General features: G+C 42.3%; 1 protein-coding gene across 14 annotated transcripts in view; it reads left to right on the top strand.

Annotated features, from left to right (window-relative positions):
* Positions 1–25,030, top strand: part of FRMD4B (FERM domain containing 4B) — a 373,805-nt gene that overhangs the window by 267,576 nt on the left and 81,199 nt on the right. For 13 of the 14 annotated variants that reach the window (XM_017005993.2, XM_047447767.1, XM_047447771.1 and 10 more), the window contains one exon: positions 24,912–24,968. In XM_017005993.2, coding sequence (XP_016861482.1) covers positions 24,912–24,968 — 57 coding nt within the window. Of the gene's footprint in view, positions 1–24,847; positions 24,969–25,030 lie in introns of those variants that run through there. The other variant, XM_047447772.1, reaches the window with a different exon arrangement.

Genomic DNA, 25,030 nt, shown 5'->3' with positions numbered 1-25,030 from the left:
ATCAGTATGCAGCCTGGGGAAAGAGCATAGGAAGGCCTTGAAAATTCACATTTTAATTTCATTAAATATAAACTAGCACAGTGAGGCTAGGACCAGGTTTCCTTTATGTGGGAATCCCTAGGACCTAGATGTTAGATAAAACGTTATTGAATGGGTAAATGAAGGAGTGAATGATTAAAGAATCAACAAATAGGCTGGGTGCAGTGGCTCATGCCTGTAATCCAAGAACTTTGGAAGGCTAAAGCAAGTGGATCACTTGAGGCCAGGAGTACGAGACCAGCCTGGCCAACATGGTAAAACCCCGTCTCTACTAAAAATACAAAAATTAGCCAGGCCTGGTGGCATGCACCTGTAGTCCCAGCTACTTGGGAGATTGAGGCACGAGAATTGCTTGAACTGGGGAAGCAGAGGTTGCAGTGAGCTGAGATGGTGCCACTGCACTCCAGCCTGGGTGACAGAGTGAGACTCCATCTCAAAAAAATAAAAATAAAAATAAAAAAATAAAGAATCAACAAATAGATGGCAAAATGGAAACATTTTAGAATGTGAAATCAACAAGACTTAGCCATCTCCCCTGCTTAACATCTTAGCCAGCCCCCTGCCAGCTACGGAGGAGGTGCATAATGGGGTGGTGGGGAGTCTGGCCTTAGCTCTATACTGGGCATCGTACTTACATTTTTAAGCCTTTGTTTCATCAACTTTAAAGTGGAAATAAGAAGTTTCTACCTCAATGGATGAGTTAATATATATGCAAACTATATAAAAGAGTGTCTGACAGACTCCATTTTGCTATTTATATTTTTGCTATTGTTACCACTGCTATTGTATAGTAAGCCCCTTGACAGGACATGCAAGCCCTGGCTTATCACTCTAGGCTCTTTGCACACTCACCCTGCGGTCATACTGAAATAACTCCTCCTTCCCTGATGATGCATCCTAGTCTTTCTCAAGCCTCCATGCCTTTTTGATATACTTGTCTTTCTGCTGAATGCCTTCCTATCTCCCTTTACTTTCCTTTGGCAAATTTCCACTCATCCTTTTGAATTCAGCTCTAGTCTCTGCCCCTTAAGAAATTCTTTTTTTTTTTTTTCCTTGTCTACCACCACCATTTCCTACAGGGAGTTAAATTCTTTCAACCTCCAAAACACCCTTTAAATACTTCTTCTAATTCTTCCTATTATGTTGAATTCTTCCTTTATGCATCAGTCACTCCTCGCAACTGCACTACCTCTTAAGACCCAGGTTCATCTTTATCTCCCCAAACACTGGCACAGAACCTGGCATGCACTATAGGCCCTTAGTAAATACTTGTCAAGTGAGCAAAATAAATGTAGTTTACACTGGTAACTAAATTGATCAAATTTTGCAAAATAGACTTGTGAAAAGATCAAGCCAAATTAAAAATCAATTCTGAGTAACAATCATAAAATTAGACATTTTCAGCTTTCAGTCTTACTCTGTTTTCTCTCCCTAAGGTGGAGCTACTGTTTCTAAATTCAATTTTCCAGAGTTGATACTTTACTTATAACCTTGAAATTTAATATGCTTAACCTATCAGAATACAATTTCAGCATTGCATGATCAGATTTTAAAGCACAGGAGTCTCAGCATATCTGTTATAACCTCTGCTGCCATCCTTGCTCTAAGTGTCTTTTGGAGACATAGGAGAATCACTGTAAAGTCAGCTGCAATGATAGGTTGACATACTTCTCTGCTCTTAGATTCAAACACTTTTTCTTAGAGCTCCAAAGAAATAAGTCATCAAATTTTGATTGCCTCCAGGAGAGAGGGACACTGAGCATATACTACATTGAGGGAATTCAGTTAATCCTGAAACCTCATTCTAGCCAAGTCTGCCAGTATAGGCTCCCATCCCAACCATTCAACCAAAGTGCCCTGAATGTAATTGACTTTCCTTCTTTCTTTTTCCTAGAGCTAAAATTACCATGTAGGCAGCACCAAAGAAAGAATGGAAGAAAAATTGGAAAAATGAATCCCCAAAAGTCAATAATGAGCTTCTGAATAATCAAAATGTGACTGTTTCTGAGAAGGGTTCTCCTAAAACTTAGAAAGATATTTTCATACTTTTGTAGAGTTCTAGCTGCCTGTTTATGGCAAAGAGACTTTTTTAAAGTACACATTCATGGAAAGACCCATTACTATCCATATTTATAATGCCTTGAGATAAGAGGATTAGTCTCAGTGCAATTTAACTGAACAGAACATGAAGCATATCTTTCTGTAACTGGTCCATTACTGTTAGCATCACATTTATGGTTCTTGTCCTGGAATTATTCCATGTAGTTCAGCAACCAACAATTTTAGTCGTACCAAGAACTAAAATACATTCAGAATATCTGCTAACCTGGCTGAGTTTTAGCATTTGGGATTTCAGAGTGTTTGCATATGTGAATGTGTGTGTGTGTGTACACACATACGAGTGTATGTGTTTTAATCCTCAACTCATTTCAAGATTTAGAAATAATTTAAAGGATTAGTAACAGAAATCGAATGTTGTAAGCTGTAAATTCTGTATTAAGACTTGTGAATGGGCTGGGCGCAGTGGCTTATGCCTGTAATCCCAGCACTTTGGGAGGCCGAGGCAGGCGGATCACCTGAGGCCAGGAGTTCAAGACCAGCCTGGCCAACATGCTAAAACCTAGAAATACAAAATTTAACCATCTCTACTAAAAACAATAAATTAACTGAGCATGGTGGTGCACACCTGTAGTTCCAATACTCAGGAGGCTGAGAGACAGGAGAATCACTTGAACCCAGGTGGTAGAGGTTGCAGTTAGCCAAGATCATACCACTGCACTCCAGCCTGGGCAACAGAGCGAAATTCTGTCTCAAAATAAATAAATAAATAAAAGACTTGTGAATGTACCTTCTTGTGATAACTAATCATCAGAAGACTGATATTGATCAAGTAGTCACTAAACTAAACATCAGAGCTGGTTTGAAGACTAGCCAGTCCACAAAGAAGAAGAAATCATTACTATATTTTATTTATTTTATTTTATTTTTTATTTTTTTGAGACAGAGTCTCACTCTGTCACCCAGGCTGGAGTGCAGTGGCACAATCTCGGCTCACTGCAACCTCCGCCTCCCAGATTCAAGCAATTCTCCTGCCTCAGCCTCCCGAGCAGCTGGGATTATAGGCGTCCGCCACCATGCCCAGCTAATTTTTTTGTACTTTTGGTAGAGATGGGGTTTCACCATGTTGGCCAGGCTAGTGTTGAACTCCTGACCTCTGGTGATCCACCTGCCTTGGCCTCTCAAAGTGCTGGGATTACAGGCATGAGCCACTGTGCCTGGCCTATTATTATATTTTAAAGGACTATTGAAAGTTTTATAATGAATATTTCACCTATCTCTATTTCACTGGTTTTCCACATGTTTTTCTGACATTCAAATTATGTTTGTCTTTAATATGAGCATTAAGATATATACTGCCTTGTGCATTTGTGAAAATCAAAGTTTTCCTAATAATAGCTCGTTATACCTGTCATCTTTAACCCCATGTCCTCAGGACCTTTTCATCGTGCTGTGATCTTTGGCTGTCACCTCCCTAAGAGGGTAAAGGAGAAGATCATTGTTCCTCCTTTTCATAGATAAAAAACTGAGGCCCAAAGATGTACAAGGACATAGTCATAAAGCAGAGGACAAGGAAAATGCCCTCCAGTTGGCACTAGCCAGGGTAAATTTACAAAGGCTGAATTATTTGTTCACTGGTATATCGCCAGCCCAAGTAGACACTCAAATATTTGTGGAATACGTCAAGACAAGCTACTAAAAATCCAGTTGGAAGACTTGTATTTCATAATGGTGTGATTTAATATGAATTATCCTAAAACATTTAAGCCTACTACTGATATTTTTGGTACACCATGGTCTCAGAAATGGGCTACAAGAATTGCATTACAGCTAAATTGTGACTCAAAAAAAGTCATATAAAAATACTACGATAAATGCTTGAAAGGAAAGTGGAGGAGGCAGATGGTCCATTCAGCTGAAAATACAACATTTTATAAACTAGGAATTTGAGCACCAGTGAATGAAAATGTTTCATAATATATATTTTTCAGTTTTTTAAAATAAATCAAATTTATTTGTATGTTTCCTGCTTTTGAAAATGCTTGGTTGGGGCTGGGCACGGTGGCTCACACCTGTAATCCCAGCACTTTGAGAGGCCGAGGCGGGCGGATCACGAGGTCAAGAGATCGAGACCATCCTGGCCAACATGGTGAAAGCCTGTCTCTACTAAAAATACAAAAATTAGCCGGGCATGATGGCGGGCGCCTGTAGTCCCAGCTACTCGGGAGGCTGAGGCAGGAGAATCACCTGAACCTGGGAGATGGAGGTTGCAGTGAGCCGAGATTCTGCCACTGCACTATAGCCTGGAGAGAGAGCGAGACTCCGTCTCAAAAAAAAAAAAAAAGAAAAAAAGAAAAAAAGAAAATGCTTGGTTGATCTCCTTAAAGACACAAATCTTGTATTTCAAAAGAAATATGGCAAAGAAACTTACAAAACCAAACTTATCCATACCAACTATTTCTGTCCATCTTTCTACCTATTTACCTGTACATCTGTCATCTATCTGTCATCTATTTTTCTCACACACAGTAGAAGCAGATGTCATTTTCCTTCCTGCAGTGCTTCACATGCCTAAGAGCCCTAAGGAGGAGGTTTGAAGGGCTATCTTTATATTTTTCAGAAAGAAGAAATTGAATGAATAGAAGACTTCCATTTCATGATTAAGTCAGCCTAAGATGAATGCTATTTTGGGGAACCTTTGCAAGGTCAATTTGTTGAGAAATAGACTGAGAGAGCTGGGTTTGGTGACATGCACCTGTAGTCCTGGCTACGCCGTAGGCCAAGGCAGGAGGATTGCTTGAGCCTGCAGGTTGAGGCTGCAGTGAGCTATGATCATGCCACTGCACTCCAGCCTGGGTGACAGAGCAAGAACCCGTCTCTAAAAAAAAAAGAAAGAAAGAAGAGAAAAAGAAATAGATAAAGATATCCATTTCAGGGAAACTTGTTAAATGAGCCACAAATGGTTACAACTTTAAATTTATAAAGAAGACATGAGGCCGGGCACAGTGGTTCACGCCTGTAATCCCAGCACTTTGGGAGGCTGAGGCGGGCAGATCGCTTTAGGTCAGGAGTTCAAGACCAGGCTGGCCAACATGGCGAAACCCTGTCTCTACTAAAAATACAAAAATTAGCCAGGTGTGATGGTGCATGCCTGTAGTCCCAGCTACTTGGGAGGCTGAGGCACGAGAATCGCTTGAGCCGAGATCGTGCCACTGCACTCCAGCCTAAGCGACAGAGCAAGACCCTGTCTCAAAACAAACAAACAAAAAAGAATACAGTTTACTCTTGGTTGAAGTGAAGTCAGTAATTCAGGGGTGTTGGACACCAGCCAAGATTGTTTATACACCCCTTGGAGAGACCGTCCATAGTTTGGCTTGATGCATGACATGGGGGAAGCGGGTATCAGAGGTAGGGGATTCCTAACTGTCCAGCTTTAAATCTCAGCTCCATCACCTACAGGCTGGGTGGCTTTAAGCAACAGCCTATTCTATCTTCCTAAGCTTCAGTCTCCCCACCTATGAAGGGGGAGGGTGATAACATTACCTCCTCACAGGACCCATGGATTAATATATATCCAAAGCTCTTGGAACAGATAATAAGCACTTAATAAATGTTTCTTGTTTTTGTAGTTATTGATGATATTATTCCAAAATTCCCAGGAGGACGGTTATAAAATGTTCTCATCTGCCAGGCACAGTGGCTAACGCCTGTAATCCCAACACTCTGAGAGGCCGAGGCAGGTGGGTCACCTGAGGTTAGGAGTTCAAGACCAGCCTGACCAACATGGAGAAAGCTCATCTCTACTAAAAATACAAAAATTAGCCGGGTGTGGTGGTGCATGTCTGTAATCCCAGCTACTCGTGAGGCTAAGGCAGGAGAATTGCTTGAACCTGGGAGGCAGAGATTGCAGTGAGCCAAGATCGCCCCATTGCACTCCATCCTGGGCAACAAGAGCGAAATTTCATCTCAAAAAAAAAAAAAAAAATTCTCATCTATAAGAAGTACTTGATCATATATAACCACAATTATACAAGAAGAATGTTGGTGAAAATATTTTAAACATGGTATTCCCTATAGCAAAAATAGTAATAAATGAGCAGTTCAATTAGATGGAAGATGTTATCCTGAAAATGAAAGTATCTCTGCATATTTATTCATGCAAAACAGCCAGATAGGATACCTACTTTACCAGGGCTTCTTTAGTCAAAGGCTTACTTTTAACATCATGACTGTAATTTTCTTCCTCCTGATTCATCCTTTCTTCCTCTAAAATCCTTGATTATCTTTTAAGCACCTTGCATTTTTTCTTTTTTCTAAATAGAGAAAAAATAGTTTTGCATCAGAACGCCCTGCTGCTACTAATTCAAATTGTCATTGTACATTGGTGCCAGGGTGCGTTTAAGCAATTAGAATGCTGTAATTAAAATCTGTTGTGTATGTAATCTTATAATGTGGAAGGGTAAGTACAGAAGTTGAGAGCTTGGTTCTAAGTGTTTGTTTAATACTGGTTATTCATCTGTTCTCCAATTGTCTCCCTGTATATGTATCAGATGTGGGTGCCCTGGAACCTCCATGCCTATTGGCAGAGCCTGACCTATTTAGGCTGCCTGCCTGTCTTGCATCGCCTAACAATTTAGCCATAGATCGCCACACCTCTCATTTCCAGGGCAGTCTCATAAACACTCACTCCCTTACTTTGAAAATATGTTGGCACAAAAGTTTATAAGGAGGATTCAGATATTGGCAGAATGGTGGAGCCAGTCTCTGATATTTGACCTTGTGACAGCCTCATTCTTCCTGGGCTTAGAGGGAATGAAGTAGAGACTCAAGACTTCAGAATAGGAGAGAAGTAAAAATAAGAATTGGGAGGAAAGTTCATAGTCCTGATGATATGTTTTGCAGCATCTTCTGGTAGAACATTGTCATCAAAAGGTTTAGTTTTTTAAAAGGTATAGATTAATTCACTTAAAAATATGTATTAGGCCAGGCACAGTGGCCCACACCTGTAATCCCAGCACTTTGGGAGGCCAAGGCAGGAGGATCACTTGAGGCCACGAGTGTGAGACCAGCCTGGCCAACATGATGAAATCTCATCTCTACTAAAAGTACAAAAATTAGCCAGGCATGGTGGTGCATGCCTGTAATTCAAGCTACCTGGGAGGCTAAGGCACAAGAATCACTTGAACCCGGGAGGCAGAGATAGACTGGGGGGACAGACAGACACTCTCTCTCTCTCTCTCTCTCTCTCTCTCTCTCTCTCTCTCTCTCTCTCTCTCTATATATATATATATATATATATATATATATATATATATATACACACACACACACACACATATATATATATGTACTAAATATTTTCTATGTGCTAGGCCTATATAGGTGCTGGGTGTGCAGTAGTGAGTTAAAGATATCTCTGCCCATGTGGAGGTTACAGTTTTATGAAATTAATAACCATAGTTCACAAATTGTGTTTAATATACAGTCTTTATTCAAATTGCTCTGATAGCTAATGTTGTTTCTAGTCTTTCCCACCCTTTTCTGGTCCTAGAGCCAATTCAGGGTCACACATTGCATTTAGTGGGTATAACTCTAAAGTCTCCTTTATAATCAAGAGCAGGCCAGTCTTCCTTTGGCTTGTATTACACTGGTATTTCTGAAGAGTATAGGGCAGCTGCCTTAGAAGATCTCTCAATTTGTGAAATATGGATTTCTCTAACTCACTGGTTCCAAACACATGTCATGTTGGACATGAATCAGAAACATCTGGGAACATGGTGAAAACACAGAAACCTACACCCTGTCCTATCTCTTTCTATCCTATTAATACTTTGATGAGCCTGGGGCTCTGTATTCTTTATTAGTTCTCCAGGTATCTGCAATACACCAAAGTTTTAGAATCACTAGTCTAATAATTTTCTCATGGCACGAACACTCTATAGATGATGAAATGGCCTCAGTTGCATCTCACAAGGAGGTATGCAATGTTAGTCTGTCTTGTTTGAGTTGAGGTGGTATCTGCCAGATTATTCTGAAGTCACCTTTTCCTTTGTAATTAAGTTTTCTGGAATTGACACTTTGAGGCTACTTGACTATCCTGTTTCTTAACAGTCTTTGACCCAATGATCTTGGCCTCCAGTGGTGATCTTACCTAAGTCAGTTAGTACTATGGTCATTGCAAAATCTAAGTTTCTAATTGAATCACCTTCAACATTTCTTAGTTAGCATTCATACGTAAAGAATAATTTTTCCTTCTTCTCCATCTTCATTTTTAAAAACTATTTTTCAGGCCAGTCACGGTGGCTCATGCCTGTAATCCCAGCACTTTGGGAGGCCGAGGTGGGTGGGTCACCTGAGGTCAGGAGTTCGAGACCAGCCTGGCCAAAGTGGCAAAACCCCATCTCTACTAAAAATACAAAAATTAGCCAGGCGTGGTGGCAGGTGCCTGTAATCCCAGCTGCTTAGGAGGCTGAGGCAGGAGAATCACATGAACCTGGGAGGCAGAGGTTGCAGTGAGCCAAGATTGTGCCACCACACTCCAGCCTGGGCGGCAGGCTGCTCCATCTCACACGCACACACAAAAAATCCTTTCTGTCATTCATTTTGATGCTCTTTAATGGTTCTCACTTTGCCCAACAGAATCCTCTTTAAGTCACATCCTGTGTTCTTATGGCTTGTCCTCACCACTTTTGAGCTTTTTTTTTTCTTTTTTGAGACAAGGTCTCACTCTGTCACCCAGGCTGGAGTGCAGTGATGGAATCACAGCTCACTGTAGCCTCAACTTCCCAGGCTCAAATGATTCTCCCTCATCAGCCTCCCAAGTAGCTGGGACTACAGGTGCATGCCATCACATCTGGATAATTTAAAGTTTTTTTTTTTTGTAGCAAGAGGGTCTCACTATGTTGCCCAGACTGGTCTAGAACTACTGTGCTCAAGCAATCCTCCTGCCTAGGCCTCCCAAAGTGCTAGGATTACAGGCGTGAACCACAATGCCTGGCCTCACTTCTTTATTTTATGACATGATAAGACAGTCCAGGCTTTCTCTAAACTTTTGCTGCCATAGCCTTGGAATCAACCATTTTTCCTTTTAGTGGAGAATGGTATCTAGAAACAAAGATCTGGTTTCTATTTAAACTACTTGGAACTTCATCTCAAGAACAAATATGTGGCCAGGCGCTGTGGCTCACGCCTGTAATCACAGCACTCTAGGAGGCCAAGGTGGGTGGATCACGATGTCAGGAGATCGAGACCATCCTGGCTAACACAGTGAAACCCCGTCACTACTAAAAATACAAAAAATTAGCCGGGCTTGGTGGTGGGCGCCTATAGTCCCAGCTACTCGGGAGGCTGAGGCAGGAGAATGGCGTGAACCGGGCGGCGGAGCTTGCAGTGAGCCGAGATCGCGCCACTGCACTCCAGCCTGGGTGACAGAGCGAGACTTCATCTCAAAAAAAAAAAAAAAAAAGGACAAATAAATGTGCCACCTAGCCATCTAGCCATCTAAAAATAAAAGTGCATTGCACAAACCATACCTGGGCTGCTACCTGGGGAAAGTATGGTCTGGCTAGTTTTCTCTCCTTTCTCATTTTCATATCTGCATATATATATATATATATATATATATATATATATATATATATATATTTTTTTTTTTTTTTTGAGATGGAGTCTCGCTGTGTTGCCCAGGCTGGAGTGCAGTGGCGCAATCTCGGCTCACTGCAAGCTCCACCTCCTGGGTTCAAGCAATTCTCCTGCCTCAGCCTCCCGAGTAGCTGGGACTACAGGCGCCCACCACTGCCCCCGGCTAATTTTTTTGTATTTTTAGTAGAGAGGGGTTTCACCGTGTTAGCCAGGATGGTCTCGATCTCCTGACCTCATGATCCGCCTGCCTCTGCCTCCCAAAGTGTTGGGATTACAGGCGTGAGCCACCGCGCCCGACCTCATATCTGTATATTTGTATTATCCTCCCACGGCTGAGCATTAATTCACATATGACAAACTTTCTCTGTCTCCGTTTATTCCTATCTTCATCGTGATCAAGTTTCTGAGAAGCGGTCTGCCCAGATACTTTGGTCATAATGCTCATGTCTTTGAAACTGTGATACACACCCACAAAAATACCTGTATTTGTTTGTTTTTTTGTAATGTCTTTTACTTTTTCAAAGCATCTTTATGTCTCATCTTTGTTTGTCCTCAAAACTCCATGAAGTATTACATAGATATTATTTATTTTCCTGCTACTTTTGTAGAAAGTAAAGCCAGAAGAGTAAATGATATTTTGACATCTAACACCTCTTTGTGTGTAGTGTAAATTTGCTTATCTAGAATTGCTGTCTAGGTATGCTTACAGTTCTTATAGATGGTGAAGCCTGGGCTATGTCCTCACAGTTCAAAAACCTGGGATCCCTTACTCTGAGCTGAAAATCAGGGCAAATCAAATCTATAGTGAATCACGAAACACAAGAAGCATTCCCTTTTTAAAAAGAAAGATATAAATACCCCCACCAACTTTTTACTTCATTACTCTTTCAGTTGCTATTCTACAAATACTGAACACCTGCTGTGTGCCAGGGAGTGTTCTAGCTTCTGGAGCTACAACTGTGGCAAAAACAGATAACAATTCCTGCCCTTAAGAATTATACCTACTAGGCAGGGGTGACAGCAGGTAGGGCATCAGACAATAAAGAAAATAAATAATGTGTATAGTGTATTAGGAGATGTAAACAGAGTCATCAAATACAGTTGTGCAGATTGCTCACTGCCCAACTCTGTGTCCAGTAATGCCAATGGAGGTCTTGGATCTAAGCAATTAAGAATGGGGTTGACACTTTGAGAGGCCAAGGTGGGCGGATCACTTGAGGCCAGGAGTTTGAGACCAGCCTGGCCAACATGGCAAAACCCAGTCTCTAAAAATACAAAAATTAGCAGGGCTTGGGGGTGTGTGCCTGTAATCCCAGCTACTCAGGAGGCTGAGACATGAGAATTGCTTGAACCTAGGAGGCAGAGGTTGCAGCGAGCCAAGATCACACCACTGCACCTCCAGCCTGGGCAACAGAGCGAGACTCTGTCTCAAAAAAAAAAAAAAAAAAAAAAAAAGGAATGGGGTTGCCATTCAGTCAGATGGAAAAGGATACAAGTAAGATCAGGAGTTGTTTCTTAACTTTGTATTGAAGAATAATATACATATTAAAAAGTGCATATAGGCTGGGTACTATGGCTCATGTCTGTAATCCTAGCACTTTGGGAGGCCAAGGTGGGTGGATTGCTTAAGCCCAAGAGTTCAAGACCAGCCTGGGCAACATAGCAAGATCCTGTCTCTACAAAATATAAAAATGGAAAATTAGCCAGGCATGGTGGCACACACCTTTAGTCCCAGCTATTTGGAAGACTGAGGTGGGAAGATCACTTGAGCCCAGGAGTTCGAGGCTGCAGTAAGCCATGATAGTACCACTGCACTCCTGGGTGACAGAGCAAGAGAGCAAGACCCTGTCTCAAAAAAAAAAAAAAAAAAAAAAAAGTGCATGTAACTAGCAAACTAGCATCAACGTCAAGGAAACAGAAGATTACTGGCACCCAAGAAGCCCCTCACATTTTCTCTTACAGTCCTTATTCTGTCTGCTACCATTTGCTTTTTTATTTATTTATTTATTTATTTTTGAGACGGAGTCTTGCTCTGTCACCCAGGTTGGAGTGCAGTGGCACAAACTCGGCTCACTGCAACCTCCACCTCCCGGGTTCAAGCAGTTCTCCTGTCTCAGCCTCCTGAGTAGCTGGGACTACAGCTGCCTGCCACCATGCCTGGCTAATTTGTATTTTTAGTAGAGACGGGGTTTCACCATATTGGTCAGGCCGGTCTCGAACTCCCGACCTCAGGTGATCTGCCCACCTTGGCCTCCCAAAGTGCTGGGATGACAGGCGTGAGCCACCGTGCCCAGCCTACAATTGCTTTTAACAGCATTTCTTAGTTTGGGCTGACTTTGAACTTTGTATGACAGGAGTCATACAGTATGTATTCTTTTATTGTCTGGCTGTTTTTACTCAAATTATGTTTTTGAGATTCATCCATATTCTTGTATGTAGCTATGCCCAGCTTGTTCATTTTCACTGCTGAATAGTAGTATATAGTATGAATATACTTCATTTACTTATTTGTGGACCGGGCGCGGTGGCTCACGCCTGTAATCCCAGCACTTTGGGAGGCCAAGGCGGGCGGATCACCTGAGGTCTGGGAGTTCAAGAACAGCCTGACCAACATGGAGACACCCCAGCTCTACTAAAAATACAAAATTAGCCAGGCGCGGTGGCACATGCCTGTAATCCCAGCTACTAGGGAGGCTGAGGCAGGAGAATCACTTGAACCTGGGAGGCGATGATGAGTGGAGATCGAGCCATTGCACTCCAGCCTGGACAAAAGCGAAACTCCATCTCAAAAAAAAAAAAAAAAAAAAAAAAAAGTCATTTGTGTACCTTGCAGTATTTGATTATTACAAATAGCACTGCTTTGAAGATCCTAGTGCCTGTCTTTGAGTGGACATATGCAAACATGTCTGCTAGGTGTATACTTAGGAGAAAATTGCTGAGCCATAGTGTATATGTATGTTATGCTTTAGTAGACTCTGCCAAAACATTGATCCAAACCAACTTATAAGCCTGGCATGGTGGTTCGTGCCTGTAATCCTAGCATTTCGGGAGGCTGAGGTGGGTGGATCACTTGAAGCCAGGAGTTCAAGACTAGCCTGGCCAACATGGTGAAACCCCATCTCTACTAAAAATACAAAAATTAGCTGGGCATGGTGGCGGGAGCCTGAAATTCCAGCTACTCAAGAGGCTGAGGCATGAGAATCGCTTGCACCTGGGAGGCAGTGGTTGCAGTGAGCCAGTATTGCACCACTGCACTCCAGCCTGGGTGACAGAGTGAGACTCTGTCTTAAAAAAATAAAAATAGGGCAGGCACGGTGGCTCAGCCTGTAATCCCAGCACTTTGGGAGGCCAAGGAGGGCTGATCACAAGGTCAAGAGTTTGAGACCAGCCTGGCCAACATAGTGAAACCCCATCTCTACTAAAAATACAAAAATTAGCCAGGCATGGTGGCACACGCCTGTATTCCAAGCTATTCAGGAGGCTGAGGCAGGAGAATTGCTTGATCCCGGGAGGTGGAGGTTGTGGTGAGCTGAGATCGTGCCACTGCACTCCAGCCTGGGCAACAGAGGGAGACTCCATCTCAAATAAATAAATAAAATGAAAATTTAAAAATGTCTGCTTTCAAAGAAAACAAAAACAATACCAACTTAGAGTCCACCAGCCACGTATGAAGTGTGCAGTAAGATATAAAGTCTGTTTCATGTAATGCAACCAGATATACCACGGACATTGCAAAGAACTACACAAAAATATTACTTGGAGACAATTTTACTATAAGCCTAGAAAATGGAAATAAATTAGCTAAAAGTTAACATTATTAGCTTTGGTGAGACATTGGTTATAAGTTAAATACACTAAAAGCAGTCATAATCCTGCATGTTAATAATCAGATAATAGTGTGTCCAGAATTGGTGAGTTCTTGGTCTCACTGACTTAAAGAATGAAGCCGTGGACCCTCGTGATAAGTGTTACAGTTCTTAAAGATGGTGTGTCCAAAGTCCATTCCTTCTGATGTTCGGAGTTTCTTTCTTCTGGTGGATTCATGATCTCACTGGCTTCATAAATGAAAATGCAGACCTTCGCCAGCAGTGTTACAGCTCTTAAAGGTGGTGTGGACCCAAAGAGTGAGCAGCAGCAAGATTTATTGCAAAGACCAAAAAGAACAACCCTTCCACAGTGTGAAAAGTGACCCAAGCAGGTTGCGAAATCTGGCTCTGGCAACCTGCTTTTATTCCCTTATCTGACCCCACCCACATCCTGCTGATTGGCCCATTTTACAGAGAGCTAATTGGTCCATTTTACAGAGAGCTGATTGGTCCGTTTTGACAGGGTACTGATTAGTGCGATTACAGTCCCTGAGCTAGACACAGAGTGCTGATTGGTGTATTTACAATCCTCTAGCTAGATATAAAAGTTCTCCAAGTGCCTACTAGGTTAGCTAGACACAGAGCACTGACTGGTGCATTTACAAACCTTTACCTAGACACAGAGTGCTGATTGTTGCTTTTACAATCCTCCAGCTAGACATAAAAGTTCTCCAAGTTCCTACTTAACTCAGGGGCCCATCTGGCTTCGCCTAGTGGATCCCGTGCTGGGGCTGCGGGCAGAGTTTCCCGCCAGTCCCGCACCACGCGCCTGCACTCCTCAGCCCTTAGGCGGTCGATGGGACCAGGCGGCGCCCATTGGGGAGGTTCGGGCCATGTGGAAGCCCACCAAGGGGGGGCTCAGGCATGGCGGGCTGCAGGTCCCAAGCCCTGCCCCATGGGGAGGTGGCTGAGGCTGGGCTAGAATTCGAGCGCGACGCAGGTGGGCCAGCAGTGCTGGGGGACCCGGTGCACCCTCCGCAGCTGCTGGCTGGGTGCTAAGCCCCTCACTGCCCAGGGCTGGCGGCGACGACCAGCCGCTCCGGGTGCAGAGGCTGCCGAGCCCACGCCCACCCGGAACTCGTGCTGACTCGCCAACTCGCGAACACGGTGCACAGCCCTGGTTCCCGCTGGCGCCTCTCCCTCCACACCTCCCCGCAAGCAGAGGGAGCCAGCTCTGGCCTCAGCCAACCCAGAGAGGGGCTCCTACAGTGCAGCGGTGGGCTTAAGGGCTCCTCAAGCGAGACCAGAGTGGACACCGAGGCCAAGGAGGCACCGAGAGCGAGCGAGGGCTGCTAGCACGTTGTCACCTCTCAATAGGATGAAAAAAAAGCGTTTGCTATACATTTGTGTAGCAAAATGTAAAATACTGAATATTAATCTTCACATAGGACGAGTGTGATATTTGTAGGTATATCACAAAACTTTATGATCACTATAAAGCGATTTCATTAGCCAGGCATGGTGGCCAGTGCCTGTAGTCCCACCTACTCAGGAGGCTGTGGCCAAAGGATCTCTTGAGCACATGAATTTGATGTTACAGTAAGTAGTGATTGCACCACTCCACATTAGCCTGGGTGACCCCATTTCTAAAACAAATTTTAAAAAGTGATTTCAATAGAAATGTGCTATGGTTGCAAAGAGGAAGACAAATTATTATTTCTTTTTTAAACCTGACAAGATCAATTTAAAATTTCTTTGAAAATAAGAGGATGTCAAAGATTCATATGGAAAATTAAAGCACTTATCCTATCAGATATTGACACATATTGTAATGAACAGTGATTAAATGTTATGGAACTATATAAAACTTGAACAGTGACCCAGAGCAAAGGAGAGAATCTAAAAACAGACATATGAATTTAAGAAGCAACATGGCGAACATTAGTGTGGAGAATAACATTAAGAGAGTCTTTGGATGCTAGGCTTTGTGACAAATGCTTTACATTCATCCTTTATTGAATGCTTTTATACCAGGGGTCCCCAACCCCCAGGCCACAGGCTGCTACCAGTCCATGGCCTGTTAGGAACCGGGCCACACAGCAGGAGATGAGCAGCGGGTGGGTGAACGAGAGAAGCTTCATCTGTATTTACAGCCGCTCCCAATCACTCGCATCAATGCCTGAGCTCTGCCTCCTGTCAGATCAGCAGCAGCATTAGATTCTCGTAGGGGCATAAACCCTATTGTGAACTGCACATGCACGGAATCTAGGTTGCCTACTCCTTTTGAGAATCTAGTGCCAGATGATCCGTCGCTGTCTCCCATCACCCCCAGGTGGGATGGTCTAGTTACGGGAAAACAAGCTCAGGGCTCCCACTGATTCTACATTATGGTGAATTGTATGATTATTTCATTAATGTAAAAATAATAGAAATAAGGTGTACAATAAATGTAATGTACTTGAATTATCCCGAAACCATCCCCCAACCCTGGTCCGTGGGAAAATTGTCTTCTACAAAACTGGTCCCTGGTGCCAAAAAGGCTGAGGACTGCTGCTCCAAACAACTTGGTAAAGTTAACATTATCTTCTATTTTGCAGATGAGGAGCTGAGTTTCAGAAAAAATAACTTTCTCATGGCCCCACAGGTTCTTCCAGTGGGGAGATAGGTCCCAGTCCAATCAGACTTCACAGACTAGGAGAAGGGCATGTCAAAGGAGAACAGATTGAAGGACATAATTTGTACCTAGTAGATAAGACAGAGAGTTAATAATATTAGTAATGTATACGCAACTCAGATCAAACAGAGGTTCTCAAATAGGCAAGTAAACAAAGGCTCATTTCACATATGGGTAATAGTAAATAATATGCATTTGCAAGGGAAATATTCAAATTGGTTAGTAATTTTTAAATTGCTCAAACCAGTAAAGGTGATATTGAAAAAAAAACTGCAAATTGAAATTGTTTTTCAGGATTTATACTTTTTTAACTAGCAAAATAATTGTATTGATTTGATATAGTTTATAGAAATATATATGTTTCCCTAAGATGAAAACATTAGTGAAAATGTTTGATTTTGCTATCTTGTTCTGGGTGATGATTACATGAGTAACAAACACATGTCAAAATGTATTGAGCTGTACACTGAGACTTGTGCATTTTATTGTATGTACCTCAATAAAAAAAATTAAATACTGAATATACTGGCTGGGCGCAGTGGCTCACGCCTGTAACCCCAGCACTTTGGGAAGCTGAGGGAGGAGGATTGCTTGAGCCCAGGAGTTCAAGACCAACCTGGGCAACATGGCAAAACCCTGTCTCTATAAAAAATACAATAATTATGGCCAGGCACGGTGGCTCACACCTGTAATCCCAGCACTTTGGGAGGCTGAGGCAAGCAGATCACTTGAGGTCAGGAGTTTGAGACCAGCCTGGCCACATGGCAAAACTCTGTCTCTACTAAAAATACAAAAAAAAATAGCCTGGTGTGGTGGCACGCACCTGTAGTCCCAGTTATTAGGGAGGCTGAGGCAGGATAATTGCTTGAACCCAGGAGGCAGAGGCTGCAGTGAGCTGAGATCGCACCATTGCACTCCAGCCTGGGTGACAGAGTGAGACTCCATCTCAAAAACAAAACAAAAATTAGCCAGGCATGGTGATACACACCTGTAGTCCCGGCTACTCAGGAGGCTGAGGTGGGAGAATTGCTTGAGCCTGGGAAGTCGAGACTGCAGTGAGCCAGGACAGCACCACTGCATTCCAGCCTGGGTGACAGAGAGAGACTCTGTCTCAAGAAAAAAAAAAGCCAATCCTGAACATATTAAAATATAGTAAGTGATGAAATTAGTGTTATTTATAAATAAGAAAATAAAGGTAGAAATAACTAGATGCTGCCAAGATTAAGGTTAGTATAAAATATTTAGCATGGTTAGTATAAAGCATTTAGCCCACAAATTTATAATTCAACTTCTCTTAAGAGCCACAGTAAAGAGGGAGTTACAATCACTTACATAACTCAGAGTGGTCATTAAGGTAAAAAGAAAGGAGCTGCTCAGAAGGGGCACAGTCAATATCGATATGAAAAATCAGAAACTTCTTCCATGGGTCCTCCCAATGGGATATCATATTGTGTAATAAACAGTGTTCTCAACAACACACTGGAAGTATTAAAATAATGAGTTCTGAGGGTTGTTACTTATATTGTTTTTCAACATAAGCCAGTGGAGTAATGCCAGAATACAGTTCCAAAAAGGCAATTTTACCTGGATGAGCCCTTATGCTTTATATAGGTTTCTGATTATTCTAGCCTAACCCAAGAATAAAACTTAGAGAACCTAGAGAAGTGGTTCTCAAGTAGGGGCCATTCTGAGGACATCTGGTGGTGTCTACAGATGTTTTTAGTTGTCACAGCCAGGGGTAGGCTGCTATTGGCACCTAGTGAGTAGAGGCCAGGGATGCTGCCTACCACCTTATAATGCCCAGGGCAGCCTCACAATAAAGAATTCTCTCACTCAAAATATCAGTTGTGCTGAGGTTATAAAACCCTGATCTAGAAGAATGAATGGGCATTATATCACTGAGACCATCCCCCATAAAGATTACCTCTAACAACTAGCTTGGACAAAAAGGGAGAAAATGATGTACCCAAAGGATGTGAGTAGGAGTGGGGTGCAAATGTAGTAGCTATGGCCTGGCTTTCTAGGGGGCAGAGTAACTCCTGGAAAATAGGCATCAGCACAGAGGAATATGTTTCTATGGCTTAGGAATAATTGCCTTGTAGGGTAGTAGAGGTCTTCAGTGTTGGCATGGCTCCTCCACCACCAGCCTAATTGCATAAAAACCAGTGCGGGTGGCCAGGGGCCATGGCTCACACCTGTAATCCCAGCACTTTGGGAGGCCAAGGCAGGCGAATCACTTGAAGTCAGGAGTTCGAGACCAGCCTGGCCAACATGGTGAAACCCCATCTCTACTAAAAATACGAAAATCAACTGGGTGTGGTAGCGTGTGCTTGTAATCCCAGTTGATCAGGAGGCTGAGGTGAGAGGATCACTTGAACCCGGGCAGCAGAGGTTGCAGTGAGCTGAAATTATGCCACTGCACTCCAGCCTGTGAGGCAGAGTGAGACTCCATCTCAAAAACAAACAAACAAAAACAGTGTGGATTTGTCTGACCCAGCATATTCCTACCTCCATGTAGATCTATCCTCAGGAGAAATGAGATGTGAGTTAAACTCCAGGCAGCTGCATGCACTCACTCATTTCTGTCCTTATCACATCTGCTCTTTGCACTGTTTGTTGGCTTGGCAGTAAACCAAAGTGAGAGCATCCTAGACAGCATCCAAATAGTCCCTCCCCCCCAACCTTTTATTTTTTTTAAGGACAGGTCTCACCGTGTCACCCAGGCTGGAGTCCAGTGGCGCAATCACAGCTCACAGCAGCCTCGGACTCCTTGGCTCAAGCAATCCTCCCACCTCAGTCTTCTGAGTAGCTGGGACTACAGGTGCAAGCCAGAGCACCCTGCTTGAGTATCATTCTTGTCAATTTTTGAACTGTAAAAGCTTTGAAGTCTGACTCTGCTCAGCAGTGGATACAGTTGACTACCAACATCAAGTAGCTCCTTTCCATCTGTGGTCATCGATTTCCTCTAGATCACATCTTCCCAACTTTGCCCCCAGAGAAAGAGAGAGAGAACTTTCTTCCCTTTGGTCTAATTCAGAAAATCCTGGAGTGGGTCCTTGGAGCAGTTTCCATCCTCCCCCAAAAAATTGATGATGTGTTTCTACTAGAGCCATAGGGAAAGAAGTAATTATCCAAGATAATGGAATTGTCTGCTCAAAAAAAGAGAAGGGTACTTGCCAGTCAAAACAGATATCCACCACTCCAGGAATATATGTCTATATTTTTCTTTTTGCAAACTTTTTTTTTAAGAGATGGGGTCTTGCTTTGTCACCCAAGCTGGAGTGCAGTGGCACAATCACAGCTCACTGCAGCCTTGAATTCCTGGGCTCAAGCGATCCTCCCCACTCCACCTCCTGAGTAGCTAGGACTACAGGCATATACCACTCACTGGACCCGGCTTCAAACTTTTATTATGAGACAATTTCAAACTTACAGAAGAGTTGAAAGAATAGTACCAAAAGCTGTTAGTATGTCTGCCAAGCCAAATTTACCAGTTTTTAACATTTGGCTCCATTTGCACTTTCTCCTTTCATATGTAAATTTTTTGACCCACTTGAGAGTAAGTTACAGACATCATACCTGTTTATCCCTAAATATTTTCATTGTATATTTCCTAAAATCAAGGACATCCCATATATGACCTAATTATAATGATCACATTCAGAAAATTTAACATTGAACCTCTACTATTTATTTAATATACAGTCCAGTTGTCCCAGTAACGTCCTTGTAATATTTCCTCCTGATCTGGGATAGCATGCTGCACTTAGTTGTTACGATTCTTCAGTCTCCTGTACGTTGGAACCTCTTTTTTCATATTCATCATATTGGCATTTTGGAAGAGCATGAGCCAGATGTTTTACAGAATATCCCTCAGATTGGATCTGTCTCATGGTTCCTCATGACTGGATCTAGTAATGCATTTTTGACAGGAATGCCACACCATGGTGTGCTGGAGCTAGCTTGTACCATCTCTTGAGAGCTAATTCTCACATCTCTTTCCACCTCTGTGTTCTGTGATGTTATATTGGTAACCTGAAATCAGCCATGGTGGGAGTATTTACACTGCCGACATCAACTAATGCTACAAATCAGACCTTTCCCAGCCCCCAGTTTCCAGTTGTGAAACATTTTCATTTCTTGGATAGGTGGGGTTGTGTAATCCTCCATGCATACCTTATGATCAGGAGGCTCATGAAGCTGATCTATCCCATTATTGGCAATATCTCATCACAGGGTTAAGATGGTATGTGTCAGCTTCCCCTTGGAAGAGTTACTGTTTTCCCTTTTGTGATTAATAAGTAATCTATGGAGAGGTATTTGTGATTACATTAATATCCTGTCCTGTTTCTCATCAAACTTTCACTCAAAAGTTGTGGGTTTTGGCTGGGTACGGTGGCTCACGCCTGTAATCTAAGCACTTCGGGAGGCTGAGGTAGATGGATCACCTGAGGTCAGGAGTTTGAGACCAGCCTGGCCAACATGGTGAAACCTCATCTCTACTAAAAAAAAATACAAAAATTAGCCGGGCATGGTAGTGGGCCCCTGTAATCCCAGCTACTTGGGAGGCTGAGGCAGGAGAATCGCTTGAACTCGGGAGGCGGAGGTTGTGGTGAGCCAAGATCATACCACTGCACTCCAGCCTGGGCAACAGTATGAGACTCCGTCTAAAAAAGAAAAAAAAAAGGTGTGAGTTTTTTACTTTTTGTTTTTGAGACAGGGTCTTGCTCTGTTGCCCAGGTTGAAGTGCAGTGGCATGATCATGGCACACTGCAGCTTCGACATCCCAGGCTCAAGCCATCCTCCCACCTCAGCCTCCCTAGTAGTGGGAATATAGACATGAGCCACCACACCTGGCTAATTTTTGATATTTTGTAGAGCAGGGTTTCGCTATGGTGCGTGATCTCAAACTCCTGAGCTCAAGCAGTGCCCCCACCTCAGCCTCCCAAAGTGCTGGGATTATGGGTGTGAGCCCCTGAGCCAGACTTCAATAAACTGTTTTTATTTATTGAAGATTATTGCCTGAATCAATTAGTACTAGAGAGGTGCAAGGGTAATTTTCTTTCTTTTTCATTTCTTCTACATTTATTTGTTGGTGTTCTACAAGTTAATTTTAAAGACTTCTACTTAAAATAGATAATTAGCAGTAGGCTTGGAAACAAACTGAGGTGTCCCAGTAGTTTCTCAAGTATGTCTAAATCCTAAGTATTTATGACCACAGTATTAATATTCATTGCTGTAGCACAGATAAGTTTCCATGAAGTACTGATCCATATGGGAAGAGCAGAATCAGTCTTAAGAAATATTTTCCCACTCTACTTTGAGAGTGTATGTTGATAACATACAGTCCCAGCAACAGTGGAGATAGCCTTTGGATTCATTTTTCCACAGCCTCACCTGTTTCCAGTTTTTACCAAAAACATACCTTTGGAGGATTCCTGATAAGAATTTGCACTGCAGTCATAAAAAGTTAACTAGTGCATGGTAGAGTGGAAAGAGCACTGGACAGGGAGTCCAGAGTTGCCATGTTCAAGGGGATTGGACATTACACTTCATCTTCCTGATCCTCATTGCCTCCCATCATCTGCAAAAAAAAAAAAAAAAAAAAATAGGAATCATATTTTCACTAATTTCCCTTGCGAGCCCCAAAACTATCTTTGATTCTGTTCTCCTACTTGGTAATCAAAACCTAGAATTCACCTCATTAGCCTGGTGTCTTGGTCAACTGAGCCAAGAAGCCAAAGACAAAAATGAGATGTCCTGTGTGGCACCTGAACCCGGTGACCTATTGATTGAATTTATAACCCAGTTAAATTAGCCATGAGGGTGTGGCACCAGGACTTGATACTGTTCATATTACCTTTGTGCATTCAGCCACATCATCTGACTCACTTCTCTGGTTCTCTTTTTTTATCCATGACAGTCATGGAAACTCACTGAAGTGTCCCGTTACCTCTCTCTTTGAGGAGATCCTTCTCTCAAGTGTTGGCTTGCCCGGTACCTATAATGTTACCTCTGTTGCCATGGTTGAGAGTAAAAGCAATGTTCTGTCCTGGGCAGACGGCACTTCCAAAACAGCTTTTACACTTCAGGCTTGAAATCCTGGAGTTCTTTTTAAGTCTTAATTAAATTTCATCAAATGAAATTGCAGAGAACTGGGCAAATAGTGTTACACCTGAATAATGTATTGTTTAGTAAACTCCGTGAATGAGTCAAAGAACTTTGGCAGTCAGTATTAGGACTCAAAATTTGTTGCCCGGGATTTCTAGAACAGTGATTGTTCAATGGAAGGTGAGGTAGGGGCTGAGGGTTTTAAAAGAATATGGGCCTTTGCCAAAGCATGCGTTCTCTTCTCTTCCTGGAACAAGATTTTGCTAGAGCCCACTCCTTCACCGCACCGTCACCCTCCTCCACCAGAACTGTATTGGGGCCACTTGTGTAGGTGGAAAAGTCCACAGGTGAGTTGGATATTTGCTCCCCACTCTTCTGGAGCTGTCTGAGCCTGGTACTTGTCTTGCTCAGTTCCTCATTTCAGCATTTTTAATACTTAATAACCCTTCTAAAGTAGAAAGTTATTTAGCTGCTTCCCTAAGAATATCTGCTGTAGGTTTTTCTGTCTGCTGAACTTCCATTTAATAAATTGAAAAGTTGGTGTCTGAAATATTTTTCAGGTGACTTGTCTGAGGTTCTGATGATGCAAAGGTGGGTCGTGGGATGTCAGAGGAGTTGGCAGTAATTTTCAATTTACTTTATTCATCTTTAGCGTTTTTAACATCTTAAGTAATTTTTTCTTCTCTAAGATTTTAAGACACATTTGACTTTAACTTTGAGTTCCTGCCTAATTTCAAACCCAGTGATGTTTTTGAGTTCTCCTGTTAGCCCTCCTCCCTTGCCGTGAGTTTCTTTTTCTTTGAACTAAGGAATGTAGCCTTTCTAAAATTTAATCTTTATCAACACCCACCTCACCTGTTGGATGAACCGCCTCATCATCTTTCACCAGATTGGAAAACCATCGTCTCCTGCCTGAAAGGCAGAGGGCAGTTGATTTCTGCAATCAACCTGGCTTCCCTTTGATTTTGTAATCTGTTTCTAGAGATTATGGGCGAGCTTTGAATTCCAAGGCTCTGGGCCTGTCAGCTTTTGAGGCAATAAACTTTGAAGCAGATCCTCTCCTCAGGTTTCAGAAGGGCGGCCTGTGTGTTAGAGGATGAAATTAACTTGTTTTCATCTTGTAATATAAGGGAAACATGAATAATTATCACTGCTGGCATTGTAACACCCTGGGGTTTTTATTTGTTCATTTTATTTTATGGGTTTTAAAATAATTATTGTTTGTTTTTTGAGAACCCTCTTCAAATCACGTGGAAACCTGAAAGAAAAGCACAATCCTTTCAGAAATCCTCACTGAGCCTAACTACCTCTGTGAACCTGTCTATTGTATATTTACTTTAAAAAGACTTAATCTCCCCATTGATGCACTTGGTATAACTAGGAAACACTCCAGCTCAGATTCAAGAGGTGGAAGGGAGGAAGAAAGAATGCAGGGCAATTTCCAGGAATTCCATGTTCTTAAATACTGTGCCCTTTCAAGTACTAATTATACAGGACTTAGGCAATAATGGAGTTACGTGGAATTTTTTTGCATTTGTTAAAACTTACAAGCTAACGTTACCACTAAAACCTTTTTTTAAAATAAAGATACCTCTATACCATTCATTGTTATAATATGGTTTAGTAATAATATTTCATGTATCATCGCAATTTAAAAAATATAAAGGTGCATATGAATATTATTGATAGAGCTATACCCTTTCTGCACATATCTATGCATCCCTACTGGTCTACTGAAAAAGCTTTTTTCTTTTTTGGTAGAGATGAGGTCTCTCTATGTTGCCCAAGCTGGTCTCAAACTCCTGGCCTCAAGTGATCCTTCTCCCTCAGCCTCCCAGAGTACTGGGATTATGGGCATGAGCCACTGTGCCAGGCCCTGAAAAAGCATTCTTTACCAAGGCCCAGAGCTCCAATTTTTCTTTGGGGTTTTGAATGATAAAAAAAAAAAAAAAAAAGGAAAACTGATAAATTAGAGTTCCTCGAACTTCAATATAAATCAACAGAATTTTAGTCTTCAAAGCATTTGCTGTAACTGATTTTTAAGGCCTCACATTTTATCTGTAATAGTACAAATATGAACTCAACAATGTGTCATTGACACAGAAGTGAATTTATATTTTTAATAATATTTACATTGTGTGTATACTGAAATAACCATGCTGTAACACAGGGGAAAAAAATTATCCCAGGAAAACACTCAACAAATGAATCTAGGAAATTCTGCAGAGTGCTTAAAAATGAACTTGCAGAGATAAAAATTTTTCATTTAGAAGTTTTCTGAATGTTTAGCCTCAAAGTCATTCCCGTTTCTTCCTGAATACTGCTCTCTACACATAATCCGTCACCACAGCTATTTAAAATAGACACACACACACACACACACACACACACGCACACACAGTGGTTTCGCCTTAACCCTCAATGAGTCTCTCCACACCCCCCACTTTCCCCTGCAATGGTATGATCTGCATTTGATCGTAAACTGGAGGTGCCAAGCTGTGACAGCTTCCTCAACTTCAGAGCCATTTGCTACAATCTAGGACAGCCCCATGTTCAATGATGCTTTCCTTTTCCATCAACAGGGGCAAATCGAAGTAGAGAGCGAAACCATCTTCAAGTTAGCAGCGTTTATTTTACAGGTAAGATTGGACAAACTGCCTCTTAGCAGCTCCCTTGTGTTTGTTCGTTTTTGTTAACTGCC

This window comes from Homo sapiens, chromosome 3 (assembly GCF_000001405.40).
Source record: "Homo sapiens chromosome 3, GRCh38.p14 Primary Assembly".
NCBI classification, from domain to species: domain Eukaryota; kingdom Metazoa; phylum Chordata; class Mammalia; order Primates; family Hominidae; genus Homo; species Homo sapiens.
This window is presented reverse-complemented; position numbering and strand designations above follow the sequence as displayed.